Raw genomic sequence first — 13881 nt, 5'->3', positions numbered from 1 at the left:
TTTAATCCTCACAACAACCCTGTGAGGTCTCGACTACATTATCCCATCTTACTGATGGGGAAACTGAGGCACGGGGAGATTGGAGTCAGTGGCCGAGAAGGAGAGATCTGGGATCTGAACCCAGGCCACCTGGGCCCCAGTGGGCTTTCTGGGGAAAGGGAAGGCAGAGGGAACAGCCAATGCAAAGGCCCTGAGGTGGGAGGGTGAGGACCCGGGAGGAGGAGGCAGCTGGGGCTGGGGCAGAGTGAGCCCGAGGGAGAGGGAGAAGAGGTGAGGGCTGAGAGGTGAGAGGAACAGATGGCACAGGGCCTCCTGAGGCATGGGGAGGACTCTGGCGTTTACCCTGAGTGAGAGGAAGCCACAGTAGTGCTCTGAGATGGGGAGGGACCTGATCTGACCCAGATGTTCCCAGATTCCTCGGCCTGGTGTGAGGAACAGGCTGTGGGGGCAGGAGGGAGCCCAGGCAGGAGGCTGCTGCGGTGGATAGGATCAGAGGCAGATTCTGTAACTGGGTGGATTTTTTTTTTTTTTTTTGAGACAAAGTCTTGCTCTGCGCCCGGGCTGGAGTGCAGTAGTGTGGTCTCAGCTCACTGCAACCTCCGCCTTCCGGGTTCAAGCGATTCTCCTGCCTCAGCCTCTTGAGTAGCTCGGATTACAGGCCTGCGCCACCACTCCCGGCCAATCTGGGTAGATTTTGAATATGGAGCTCACAGGACTTGCTGACAGATTGGTTGTCCAGTGAGCGTTAGGGGGTTGGCGGGGTGGAGATTAACTGCGTCGCTGGGGTGTGGCGCAGGAGCACCCAGAAGAATGGCAGTGCCATTATCTGAGATGGCGAGCTCTGAGAGAGGAGCAGGGTTTGGGGATGGAATTCCTGGGCGCCGTCCCCGACAGGGCGCTCTTCGACGGCCCCTGCTACGCGGGCCTGATCCACCCTCTCTGATCTCCCCGCAGCCCTGTCCTGCCCTGCCAACAGCCGCTATGAGCTCTGCGGCCCTGCTTGCCCGACCTCCTGCAACGGGGCTGCGGCGCCGTCCAACTGCTCCGGGCGCCCCTGCGTGGAGGGCTGCGTGTGCCTCCCAGGCTTCGTGGCCAGCGGCGGCGCCTGCGTGCCGGCCTCGTCGTGTGGCTGCACCTTCCAGGGTCTCCAGCTCGCTCCGGGCCAGGAAGTGTGGGCGGACGAGTTGTGCCAAAGGCGCTGCACCTGCAACGGCGCCACCCATCAGGTCACCTGCCGCGACAAGCAGAGCTGCCCGGCGGGTGAGCGCTGCAGCGTCCAGAACGGCCTCCTGGGCTGCTACCCCGATCGCTTCGGGACCTGCCAGGGGTCCGGGGACCCACACTATGTGAGCTTCGACGGCCGGCGCTTCGACTTCATGGGCACCTGCACGTACCTGCTGGTCGGCTCATGCGGCCAGAACGCAGCGCTGCCTGCCTTCCGGGTGCTGGTGGAAAACGAGCATCGGGGCAGCCAGACTGTGAGCTACACGCGCGCCGTGCGGGTGGAGGCCCGCGGGGTGAAGGTGGCCGTGCGCCGGGAGTACCCCGGGCAAGTGCTGGTGAGCGACGTGGCGCCCAGGGCTGGGTGACGGAGCAGGAAATACCCTCTGAAGACTTGGAGTTCTGGATGGGCCTGAGGGTGGGGGAGGCCTGTTAGAAGATTTTATTTTTTTCGTTTTCCTTTTTCCTTTTTGTGCAGAACGGAGTCGCACTAAGTTGCCCAGGCCGGTCTCCAACTCCTGGGCTCAAGTGACCCTCCCGCCTCAGCTTCCTGAAGTGCTAGGAAGTGAGCTATGATCGTGCCACTCCATTCTGGCCTGGGTGACAGAGTGAGACCCCTGTCTCTATTTTAAAAAGGAAGCTAGTGGCTGGGCACCGTGGCTCACGCCTGTAATCCCAGCATTTTGGGAGGCTGAGGCGAGTGGATCATCTGAGGTTTGAGACCATCCTGGCCAACATGGTGAAACCCCCTCTCTACTAAAAATAGAAAAAAAAATTAGCCAGGTGCAGTGGCTCACACCTGTAATCCCAGCTACTAGGGAGGCTGAGAGAGAATCGCTTGAACCCAGGAGGCAGAGGTTGTAGTGAGCCAAGATTGTGCCACTGCACTCCAGCCTGGGCAACAGAGTGAGACCCTGTCCAAAAAAAAAAAGAAAAGAAAGCTAGTATGGTTGCAGCAGCCTGAGTGAGAGGGACAGTGAGAAGAGGTGAGGCGAGGGAGGTAATGGGGAGATAGACAGATCATGTAGGTTTTGAAGGCCATGGGTGAGGGATTTGGATTTAAGCTGGTGCTTTAGGAATGAAGAGGGGTGAATGGTGAGCCAGGCAGAGGGAACAGCAAGTGCAAAGGCCTCGAGGTGGGACTGAGCGTAATATGTCCAAGAGAATAGCAAGGAGGTCAGGGTAGCTGGAGGTGAGTGAATTGAAGGGTGGGCCACAGAACTGTGAATACCCTGACCAGGTGGCCCTCTTGCATCTCCACCCAGGTGGATGACGTCCTTCAGTATCTGCCCTTCCAAGCAGCAGATGGGCAGGTGCAGGTGTTCCGACAGGGCAGGGATGCCGTCGTGCGCACGGACTTTGGCCTGACTGTCACTTATGACTGGAATGCACGAGTGACTGCCAAGGTGCCCAGCAGCTATGCTGAGGCCCTGTGTGGACTCTGTGGGAACTTCAACGGGGACCCAGCTGATGACCTGGCTCTGCGGGGTGGGGGTCAAGCTGCCAATGCACTGGCCTTTGGGAACAGCTGGCAAGAAGAGACGAGGCCCGGCTGTGGAGCAACTGAACCGGGTGACTGTCCCAAGCTGGACTCCCTGGTGGCCCAGCAGCTGCAGAGCAAGAATGAGTGTGGAATCCTTGCCGACCCCAAGGGGCCCTTCCGGGAGTGCCATAGCAAGCTGGACCCCCAGGGTGCCGTGCGCGACTGTGTCTATGACCGCTGCCTGCTGCCAGGCCAGTCTGGGCCACTGTGTGACGCACTGGCCACCTATGCTGCTGCATGCCAGGCTGCTGGAGCCACAGTGCACCCCTGGAGGAGTGAAGAACTTTGCCGTGAGTATCGGAAGTGGCAACTGGGGGACTCAGCCTTATATATATTCATTAATGTATAAATATCATTAATTCATTTAATCCTTATAATAGCCCTATGAGGTAGGGATTGTGGTTATACCCATTTAACAGATGAAGAAATTGAAGTTCAGAAAGGTTCAGTTACACACCTGGGATCATGATAGCTAGAAAATCACAGATGGTGGGCATGCAGTTGGTATTTTTTTTTTAGATGGAGTCTTGCTCTGTCACCAGGCTGGAGTGCAGTGGCATGATCTCGGCTCACTGCAACCTCTGAGTCTGGTTCAAGCTATTCTCCTGCCTCAGCCTCCAGAGTAGCTGGGATTACAGGCATGCGCCACCAAGCCCAGCTAATTTTTGTATTTTTAGTAGAGATGGGGTTTCACCATGTTGGCCAGGATGGTCTCGATCTCCTGACCACGTGATCCGCCCACCTCAGCCTTCCAAAGTGCTGGGATTACAGGCGTGAGCCACCGTGCCCAGCGGCAGTTGGTATTTGTAAAATGACTGAGTACACCTGGTGGCCCAGGGTCTGATTCCCACATAACAGCTGTCATTGAGATATGAGCAACAGTATTGTCATTAGGAGTCTCATCCCCTCTCTGGTTCTTTTTGGTCCCCATCTATCCTACCTCGCTTATTTACATCTGCCTGACCCCTTGGGCAGTCAGTTTGAGAGCCTTGTTTCAGAGGTGGGTGCATGAATGGTTTTCCAACACCTTTGCTTGCCTATGAAAGAAGTTTGAAAAGCCATGCATCCTCTCACCTGATTTTTTTTAAGATGGGGTCTTGCTCTGTTGCCTAGGCTGGAGTGTAGTGGTGCAATCATAGCTTACTGCAGCCTGGAACTCCTGGGCTCAAGCGATTCTCCTGCCTCAGCCTCCTGAGTAGCTGAAACGGCAGGCTTGCACCACCATCCCCCGCTAATTTTTAAAATATTTTTTATAGAGACAGGGTTTTGATATTTTGCCCAGGCTGGTCTCGGGCTCTTGGGCTCAAGCAATCCTCCTGCCTCGGCCTCTCAAAATACTAGGATGACAGGTGTGAGCCATCGTACCAGTTTCCTCTCACCCGATTTTTAATTTAAAAAATTTATTATTGAAATATAATACAGATATTTAAAAATATGTACATATCATAAGCTAACAGCTTGATCAGTTTTCACCAAGAGAACAAACCTGTGTGAACTGTCCCAAATTCAAGAAAAAAAAAAAATCCAGGTTCCCAACCCCAAGAGGTAACCACTATTCTGACTTCTAAAGTTTTTGAATTTTGGAATTAATAGAAGCATACATGTCTAGTTTTTCACCTGAAATAATCATAAAACTTATAATTTCTAACAAATGGTAACTTTTGACTTTTAAGAACCTTTTTTTTTTTTTTTTTTTGAGATGGAGTCTCACTCTGTCACCCAGGCTGGAGTGCAGTGGCACGATCTCAGCTCACTGCAACCTCCGCCTCCTGGGTTCAAGCAATTCTCCTGCCTCAGCCTCCCAAGTAGCTGGGACTACAGACGCCCGCCACCATGCTTGGCTAATTTTTTTGGTATTTTTAGTAGAGAGGGGGTTTCACCATGTTGGCCAGGCTGGTTTCGAACTCCTGACCTCAAGTGATCCGCCCAACTCGGTCTCCCAAAGTGCTAGAATTACAGGCGTGAGCCACTGCTCATGGCCTTAAGAACATTTTTATTAGGGAAAAATTTAAACATATCCAAAGTAAACTAGGATAGTGAGCCAGCATATATCCATCATTTAGTTTCCACAATTATCAACATAATATTGGTATTTCAAAATGAAACCATTACTTGACTTATGCTCCTCTTTTAAATGTATTCAACAGATACATAGCACACAGTGGTACACATCATTGTCCACTGAAAAATACAGGATAAATACATCATTCCTTTTTCTCCTTCAACTTACATTCATTCATTCAACAAATATCCAAAACATTCAAAAATACCTTCTGTATTCCAGGCACTATTCTAAACACTCCGGATACAATAGGGGAGAGAATAAGAAAACAAATCCTTGCCTTTCTGAACTGATTTTCTAATGCTTTTTAGTTCTAACAGAATTTAACCTAATGTAACACATTTGAATGCATGGAAGTCTTTTGTTAAAGTCACTGTATCAGCTGGCTTTTGGTGCCTAACAAACAACCCAAGGCTTAGTGGCTGAGTGCATTAAAACAAGTGTTTATTTTTATTTATTTATTTATTTATTTATTTATTTATTGACATGGAGTCTCGCTCTGTTGCCCAGGCTGGAGTGCAATGGTGTGATCTCGGCTCATTGCAACCTCCGCCTCCTGGGTTCAAGTGATTCTTCTGTCTCAGCTTCCCAAGTAGCTGGAATTACAGGCATGTGCCACCATGCCCGGCTAATTCTTTGTATTTTTAGAAGAGATGGGGGTTTCACCATGTTAGCCAGGCTGGTCTCGATCTCCTGACTTCAGGTGATCTGCCCGCCTCAGCCTCCCAAAGTGCTGGGATTACAGGTGTGAGCCACCATGCCCGGCCAAGTATTTATTCTTTCTCATGATTCTGGGGGCTGCTGAGCTGTTCTCCCAGCCTGGGCCAGCTTGGTTGATCTCTGCAGTCTGTTGGAGGCTCAGCCAAGGCCGGGTAATCTAGGGTGATTTTACACATCTGGCAGTTGTCAAGCTGGTTGGTTTGGGGGGCCCTCAGCTGGGAATTCTTGTCTCTGCTCTACTTGGTCTCATCTTCCAGCAGGTGAGCCAAGGCTTCTTCCCAAGGTGCTCTCAAGATTCCTAAGAGCACACAAGCCCCAGTGTGCAAGCACTTTCCAAGGCTCTACTTGGTATCATGGTGGCCAATGTCCCATTGGCCAAAGCAAGTGCCATGGTCATGCCCAGAGTCAAGACGTGACCATTGGCAGCCTGTGTCACAATCGCCATCACACTTCTCTGCCACAAACATACACATCTATGACTAAGATTTCAGAATTTTTATAATCCCAGCTACTCGGGAGGCTGAGGCAGAAGAATCGCTTGAACCCAGGAGGCAGAGGTTGCAGCGAGCCGAGATCAAGCCACTGCACTCCAGCCTGGGCAACAGAGCGAGATTCTGTCTCAAAAAATAAAATAAAATAAAATAAAATAAAATAAAATAATAACAGTGCAGTCTCCACTCATCCCAAATCTCAACACGTGGCATGTTGCCCTGGGGTGTGAAACCTCCCAGGACAAAACAGCCTTCTTATAAAAGATATAAGAAGTTTTAGAAATTCCTGAGACTCTAAGACTCTAAGTGGTTTTTTTAATGGAGTAAGATATCATTGCAAGAATTGTTTGTGCACAATTGATAAAAATATTAAACAGAAGTAAATTGTAATGGCCATTGTAATGGCATCACTCAGTGAGCTTACCCCCACCCAATATTTCACATATATTGTTAGAATGAGACAGGGTTCAGCATCAATTCTAATCCTATCTTTCATTTTTGTAGATATGATATTTATTTATTTTTGAGATAAGGTATTATCCTGTCACCGAGGCTGGAGTCCAGTGGTGTGATCACAGCTTACTGTAGCCTCCATCTTTGGGCTCGAGTAGTCCTCCTGTGTCAGCCTCCTGAGTAGCTGGGACTACAGGTGCACACTACCATGCCTGGCTAATTTTTTATTTTTTGTAGACACAAGATCTCGCTATGTTGTCCAGGCTGGTCTCAAACTCCTGGGCTCAAGCCTTCCTCCCGCCTTGGCCTCCCAAAGTGCTGAGATTACAGACTTGAGCCACAGCTCCTGGCTTACATGATATTAATAAGTGGGTGGGAGTGGACAGAGTGCAGGTGGAGTAACATCACTCCGTGCTCTGAACCCCTTCTGAGTCATAGGGAAGGCACACAGTGAGACACGACAAATTTATTTTATATTATCTGTGAGCAGCCAATTCTATTAGGCCCTCCTTTTGATTTATTACTCAATAATGATTCAGCATTCGTTGTGTTCACAGCGATAGCAATATTTGAAATCGTCCGTTTATGTCCTCAGAGGTTTCACACTCCAGGGCACTGTGCCATGTGTTAAGATTCAGGATGGGGCTGGGTGTGGTGGCTCATGCCTGTAATCCCAGCACTTTGGGAGGCTGAGGCGGGCAGATCACTTGAGGTGAGGAGTTCGAGACCAGCCTGGCCAATATGGCAAAACCCTGTCTCTACAAAAAATACAAAAGTTAGCTAGGCCTGGTGGTGAGCGCCTGTAATCCCAGCTACTTGGGAGGTTGAGGCAGGAGAATCTTAGCTTAAACCTGGGAGGCAGAGATTGCAGTGAGCCGAGATCGCACCACTGCACTCCAGCCTGGCCCACAGATCGAGACCCTGTCTCAAAAAAAAAAAAAAAAAGATTCAGGATGGGTGGGGGACTGCACTGTTCTCTTCTGTAAAGTGCAGGAAGCACACTTGTGAAGGGGACAGGTGGACAATGGGAAGTGGGAATGCTCTTCTAACAGAGCATTCTTGGGCTGTCCTTTTAGGCAGGACACGTATAATTCCAGCTAGCAGTTGTGTGACACGCATCCCACTGGGCAGGTCCTGTTCTAAGGGTTTCTCATTGAATCCTCACAACCACCCCGTGAGGCAGAATTGCTCTTATTCCTATTTTACAAGACGAGGAAACTGAACCACAGAGATGTTAAGGAACTAGCCTGAGGTCACACAGCCGGTGGGGTGATTTGAACAGGCTGGCTCCTGATTTTGTGCTGTTAATTATCAGACTCTGTGGCCTGTGTGGAAATTGAGAATCTCTTGTTTCCTTAAAACTACTCCTTTCCTTGTACCACCTGGAAGTTCTAGAAGACTGGATCATGAGGTCTTAGATATGCAGACGGAGGCCTGACCCAGCTTGAACAATTATTGGTATTTTGCCATTCTTAGTTCCTCTACCTCTCACTCCACCCCCTCTTTTTTGGTAGAATATTTTAGATCAAATTCTAGGCAGATCAGTTCTCCTCTAACTACTTCAGTAAGCATCTGCTTTTCAGCAACAAAAAAGGACTTTTAAGGCACAGGAGTTTGCTTTTCATGCCTGTAATCCCAGCACTTTGGGAGGCCTAGGTGGAAGGATCGCTGGAGGCCAGGAGTTCAAGACCAGCCTGAGCAACATAGCAAAACCCAGTCTCTACAAAAATAAAAATAAAGAATAAGCCGGGCATGGTGACTAGTGCCTATCATTTCAGCTACTCAGGAGGCTAAGGTGGGAGAATATCTTCAGCCCAGGAGGTGGAGGTGGCAGTGAGGCGAGACTGTGCCACTGCACTCCAGTGAGGCCCTGTCTCTAAAAAAAAAAAAAAAAAAAGGAAGGAAGAAAGAAAGAGATATGAGGGCATGTGGTAATTACCAGTAACAACAATAACATTAATTCCCTAACATCATGTAAAGCCCAATCTGGGTTCAAATTTTCCCAATTGTCTAAAAAAAAAAAAAGGTTTTTTTCTATTTTGTTTGGCTCTAGAACCAAACCAAATACACATACTGCATTGGATTGATCTACCTCTTTGCTTTTACTCTGTCAGAATTTCCTTCCTTTGTTCCTCCCAACATAGTATTATGAAAATTGTCAAATATACAAAAAAGTTGAAAGAATTTTACAGTGAAGACCCATAAACCTACCACCTGGACTCTACACTCTAATTCTTTTTCTTTTCTTTTTTCTTTCTTTCTTTCTTTCTTTTTTTTTTTTTTTGAGATGGAGTCTCACTCTGTTGCCTAATCTGGAGTGCAGTGGTGCAATCTCAGCTCACTGCAACCTCCGCCTCCCGGGTTCAAGCGATTCTCCCACCTCAGCCTCCCACGTAGCTGGGATTACAGATGTGCGCCATCATGCCCAGCTAATTTTTGTATTTTTAGTAGAAACGGGTTTTACCATGTTGGCTAGGCTGGTCTCGAACTCCTGACCTCAAGTGATCCTCCTGCCTCGGCTTCCAAAAATGCTGGGGTTACAGGTGTGAGCCACCGCGCCCGGCCTCTTCACTCTAATTCTAATTCATTCATTTGCCTTATCACATAGCTATCCCTCCATCCAGCTCTTCCTTTTGTCTATGTCACTTATTTACTGGGAAAGATAGGTTATTTATCCTGCAGAATTTCATACTTTCAGGATCTGGCTAGTTGCTATTTTGGAGTGTTATTGAACTTGTCCCTATGTCCCCATGATTCTCCTGTAAGCTGGATGTCAGCTTCAGAACAGCACCACCCAGCAGAACTTCAATGATGACAGCTCCATATTTGAGCTGTTCAAATACATACCAGGTCACCACAGGTCACATGTGGCTGCTGAGCACTTGCAATGAGGCTGTTGTGACTGAGGAGCTAAATCTTCAATTTTGTTTCATTTTAATTAACTTACATCCAAATGGTCACAAGTGGCTAGTGGCTACTGTATTTGACAGCACAGATAGAGATTTAATGTGGTTTAGTTTTAGTCACTTAGATTTGCTTTTTATGGAGTGACTGGAGTTTGGGGAGGGGAGCAGGGAGGTTTTTCTTTTTTTCTTTATAACACTGGCTAAATATTTTAATTACTGCTATAGAAGGAAGAAGCTAAAAGTATTGCATTCACAAATATTGCATAGATTATACAAACACAGAAATATATGCATATGCATGTTTAAAATATATGCCACATATCAACACCATGTATCCAACTTGAATAAGGTCATTAAAGACATAATAGAAGGCTGGGTGTGGTGGCTCATTCCTGCAATCCCGGCACTTCGGGAGGCTGAGGCAGGTGGACTGCTTGAGCCCAGGAGTTTGAGGCCAGCCTGGGCAACATAGCGAGACCGCATCTCTATAAAAAATTTGAACAGTTAGCCAGGCATGATGGTGCACGCCTATAGTCCCAGCTACTCAGGAGGCTGAAGTGGGAGGATTGCTTGAGCCCAGGAGGTCAAAGCTGCAGTGAGCTGTGATAGCAAGCACCACCGCGCTCCAGCCTGAGTAACAGAGCGACCCCTATCTCAAAAAAAAAAAAAACCATAATAGATAACTCCAAACCATAGTTAAATTGGGAAAGAATCTTAATTATCAGGATCAGATTAACTGCGATGTAATGTGTTCCCCAAGCACCCTGCAATGGGACCGCTTGTGTGTGAGTGTCTTTGAGCATCTGTGTGTGCATACGAATGTGTTGGGGGACCGCTTGTGTGTGTGTGAGTGTGTTTGAGCGTGTGTGTGCATATGAATGTCTTGGGGGACCACTTGTGTGTGAGTGTGTTTGAGTGTTTGTGTGCATACGAATGTGTTGAGGGACCACTTGTATGTGAGTGTGTCTCGAACTCCTGACCTGGGAGCAGGAATTCTTGATCTTGATGTCTCCTCTCCCTGCAGCACTGAGCTGCCCACCCCACAGCCACTATGAGGCGTGTTCCTACGGCTGCCCGCTGTCCTGTGGAGACCTCCCAGTGCCCGAGGGCTGTGAGTCGGCCTGCCGTGAAGGCTGTGTCTGCGATGCTGGCTTCGTGCTCAGTGGTGACACGTGTGTACCTGTGGGCCAGTGTGGCTGCCTCCACGATGACCGCTACTACCCACTGGGCCAGACCTTCTACCCTGGCCCTGGGTGTGATTCCCTTTGCCGCTGCCGGGAGGGCGGTGAGGTGTCCTGTGAGCCCTCCAGCTGCGGCCCGCATGAGACCTGCCGGCCATCCGGTGGCAGCTTGGGCTGCGTGGCCGTGGGCTCTACCACCTGCCAGGCGTCGGGAGATCCCCACTACACCACCTTCGATGGCCACCGCTTCGACTTCATGGGCACCTGCGTGTATGTGCTGGCTCAGACCTGCGGCACCCGGCCTGGCCTGCATCGGTTTGCCGTCCTGCAGGAGAACGTGGCCTGGGGTAATGGGCGAGTCAGTGTGACCAGGGTGATCACGGTCCAGGTGGCAAACTTCACCCTGCGGCTGGAGCAGAGACAGTGGAAGGTCACGGTGAGAGCAGATGGGGAGCAGGGGGCGAGGGGCCTGTGGGTAGGTGGGGCACAGGCAGCGCTCAGCCCAGGAGTTGGGGGCACAAGAGATGAGAGTGCATGTGCGAGGCCTGGGGTCTCTGAGGACAGAAGATGCCAGTCAGAACCGAGTGGGAAGCCAATGAGGGAGGTGTCATCAGGGACTTGGGAGCTGCTCCCCCATCTCTGTCCCTCAGTCTCCACCCTCTCTTTACCTCCATGCATTGACTTTTCTCTCCAAATTTCTCCCACCCTCTCCTCCCTCCCACTCCATCCTCTCTCCACCTCAGTCCTGGATTCTGCCCTACTCACCTCCCTAGTCTGCCACTTATTGGCAGGACGTGGTGCCATCAGAGGTTGAGAAAGTCCGAGTTTGAGAAGCTTCATGGACAGAGGACAATCTGTGGGTGACACTCTCACCGCCTTAACAACAACAACAGCAGCTATAGTTTCTATACAGCTGACTGCACACCTTTTGGCTGCCAGGCACTTCACGTCCATGGTGTCTGTATGCTTGCAACAGGGACTGCAGGCACTATGACTTGCTTTATTTTTCAGAGTGGGATGGCCCATCACTGGCCCATAGTCCCCCAGCAAAGGTGGAGCTTGAACCCCGTGCTGCTCTGCAGTGCTTTTCTTACTGAGAAGATTTGGTCTCATGTGGAGACTGGCATCTGAGTTACAGTGGAGGGGTTTCCCCTGAGATCCCACTGAAACAGACACGCAGCTGTTTTTCTAGTGGCAGTATTGGCGAAGGTGCTGATCAATTACTGACTTAATCTGGCGAACTGGACAGGCGTGACTTTTTTTTTTTTTTTTTTGGCACAGAGTCTGGCTTTGTCACCCAGGCTGGAGTGCAGTGGCGCGATCTCGGCTCACTGCAACCTCTGCCTCCCTGGTTCAAGTGATTCTCCTGCCTCAGCCTCCAGAGTAGCTGGGATTACAGGTGTGCAACACTATGCCCAGGAAATTTTTGTATTTTTAGTGGGGACGGGTTTCACCATGTTGGCCAGTCTGGTCTCCAACTCCTGAGCTCAGTGATCTGCCGGCCTCAGCCTCCCAAAGTGCTGGGAATAGAGGCATGAGCCACTGTGCCCGGCCGACATGCAGGACTTAATTGAATATATTCCCTAATGTTTCCCAAGCTCCTAGAATAGCCCCTGACATACAGCGCCTAAATACACAGGAGTTGTTGATGTTCTTGTTAGTTGCTTCTTACTGAAACCCCCAGCTTCCCTACAGATGTGGGAGCTCTTATTACCCCGCAGTTTACAGCTGAGGAAACTGAGGCAAGGCTAAGTCAGTTGCCCTTACCCACCGCCCAGCCCTGCTTGGGAAGTGTGGCAGTTGACCATCTTTTTAGGAGACTCAGCCAGGAGCATGTCTTTCTCCTGCCTTCTCCTCTGATTCTTCACATTTCCAAAAGAATCCGGTGTGCACTGTCTGTGATAAGGAAGGGTAAGAAAGCATGTTAATCAGGGGTTGATGTATTTATTTATTTTTTAGAGACAGGGTCTTGCTCTATCACCAAGGCTGGAGTGCAGTGGTGTGATCCTAGCTCACTGCAGCCTCAAACTCCTGCTCTCAAGCAATCCTACCACTTCAGCCTCCTGAGTGGCTGGGAGTACAGGCATGCACCACCATGCCCAGTTAATTTGTTTTCTTTTTTATTTTGTAGAGACAGGATCTCGATATATTGCTCAGGCTGACCTTGAACTCCTGGGCTCAAGTGATCTTCCCGCCTTGGCCTCTCAAAGTGCTGGGATTATAGACATGAGCCACTGTGCCCTGTCCAGGGGTGGATTTACCAGGCTTTGTTGGAGCCTAGTAAATCTTTAACTGAAACCACTGGTCCTCAGCTCATAGGTTTAAGTTCATTTCCCCAAGAATTTAGCCTAACTTTCCACTCGCTGATGCTTTAAAGCAAAAACCTGTGGTTCTGTTTACTCTTCAGAAGAAAAACCTCCACTCATAGCTGCTAATAACAGCAAATGCTCCTGAAGCATGCATGCTATGCCAGCCACGTTTCTCAGCACTTTACAGATACTAATTTATGTGATCCTGACAACAGTTCCATGGGGCAAACGCCTTATTCCCACTTGATAGATGAGGAAACAGAAACAGGGAGAGGTGACTCACTTGCCCAAGGTCACAAAGAGGGTAAGGGGGAAACTGTTTGAACTCGGGCAAGTGGCTCCGGGGGCGATCATTGCTTATTAATGGCTGCAGCAAGCGGTAAACAAAGGATAGCTGGAGGCTTGTTACTTCATCGAGACCTGTATTCGTTTCCCATGGCTGCCATAACAAATTACCACGAGCTTGGTGGCTTAAAACACTAGAAATGTATGTTCCACAGTCCTGGGTGCCAGAAGTTCAACATCAAGGTGTGGGCAGGGCTGCACCCCCTCCAAAGACACTGGTTGGGGGATCTTCCTTTCCCTTTCCAGCTCTGCAGACTCCAGGTTCTCTGGGCTTGTGACAACACCATTCTAATCCCTGCCTTCATCTTCATGTGGCTTTTTCTGTGTGTCTCTTTGCCTTTTTCTTTCTGGCTCTTATAAGGATACTAGTCATTGGATTTAAGGCCCAATTTAATCCAGGATAATCTCATGTTGAGATTATTACCCTGATTACATCTGCAAAGAACTTTATTCCGAGTAAGCTCACGCTATGGGATTCTGGGTGAATATGTCTTTTGGGGACCACCATTCAATCTACTATCAGGCCCTGTTATTATATCCATTTAATAAATAGGAAACTGAGGGCCTAAGAGGTGAGGTCACAAAGATCAGCATCAGGCATGGGCTTGAACTAGGGTCCCACCCTCACTCAAAGTATACTTTCTGAAGCG

The 13881-nt window shown here is 49.4% G+C and overlaps 1 protein-coding gene across 1 annotated transcript in view; it reads left to right on the top strand.

The window, feature by feature from the left end:
• FCGBP (Fc gamma binding protein) overlaps positions 1-13881 on the top strand; it is a gene marked incomplete in the record, with an annotated part of 71312 nt that overhangs the window by 17891 nt on the left and 39540 nt on the right. The window contains 11 exon segments of the mRNA NM_003890.3: positions 955-1559; positions 2487-3053; positions 5332-5343; positions 5662-5670; positions 6052-6056; positions 6058-6067; positions 8968-8976; positions 8979-8984; positions 10429-10466; positions 10468-10497; positions 10500-11013. Of these exon segments, the coding sequence (NP_003881.2) occupies positions 955-1559; positions 2487-3053; positions 5332-5343; positions 5662-5670; positions 6052-6056; positions 6058-6067; positions 8968-8976; positions 8979-8984; positions 10429-10466; positions 10468-10497; positions 10500-11013 (1805 nt within the window).

This window comes from Homo sapiens, chromosome 19 (assembly GCF_000001405.40).
Source record: "Homo sapiens chromosome 19, GRCh38.p14 Primary Assembly".
Classification (NCBI taxonomy): domain Eukaryota; kingdom Metazoa; phylum Chordata; class Mammalia; order Primates; family Hominidae; genus Homo; species Homo sapiens.
Note: the sequence above shows the minus strand (reverse complement) of the source record. Positions and strands in the feature narration are given on the sequence as shown.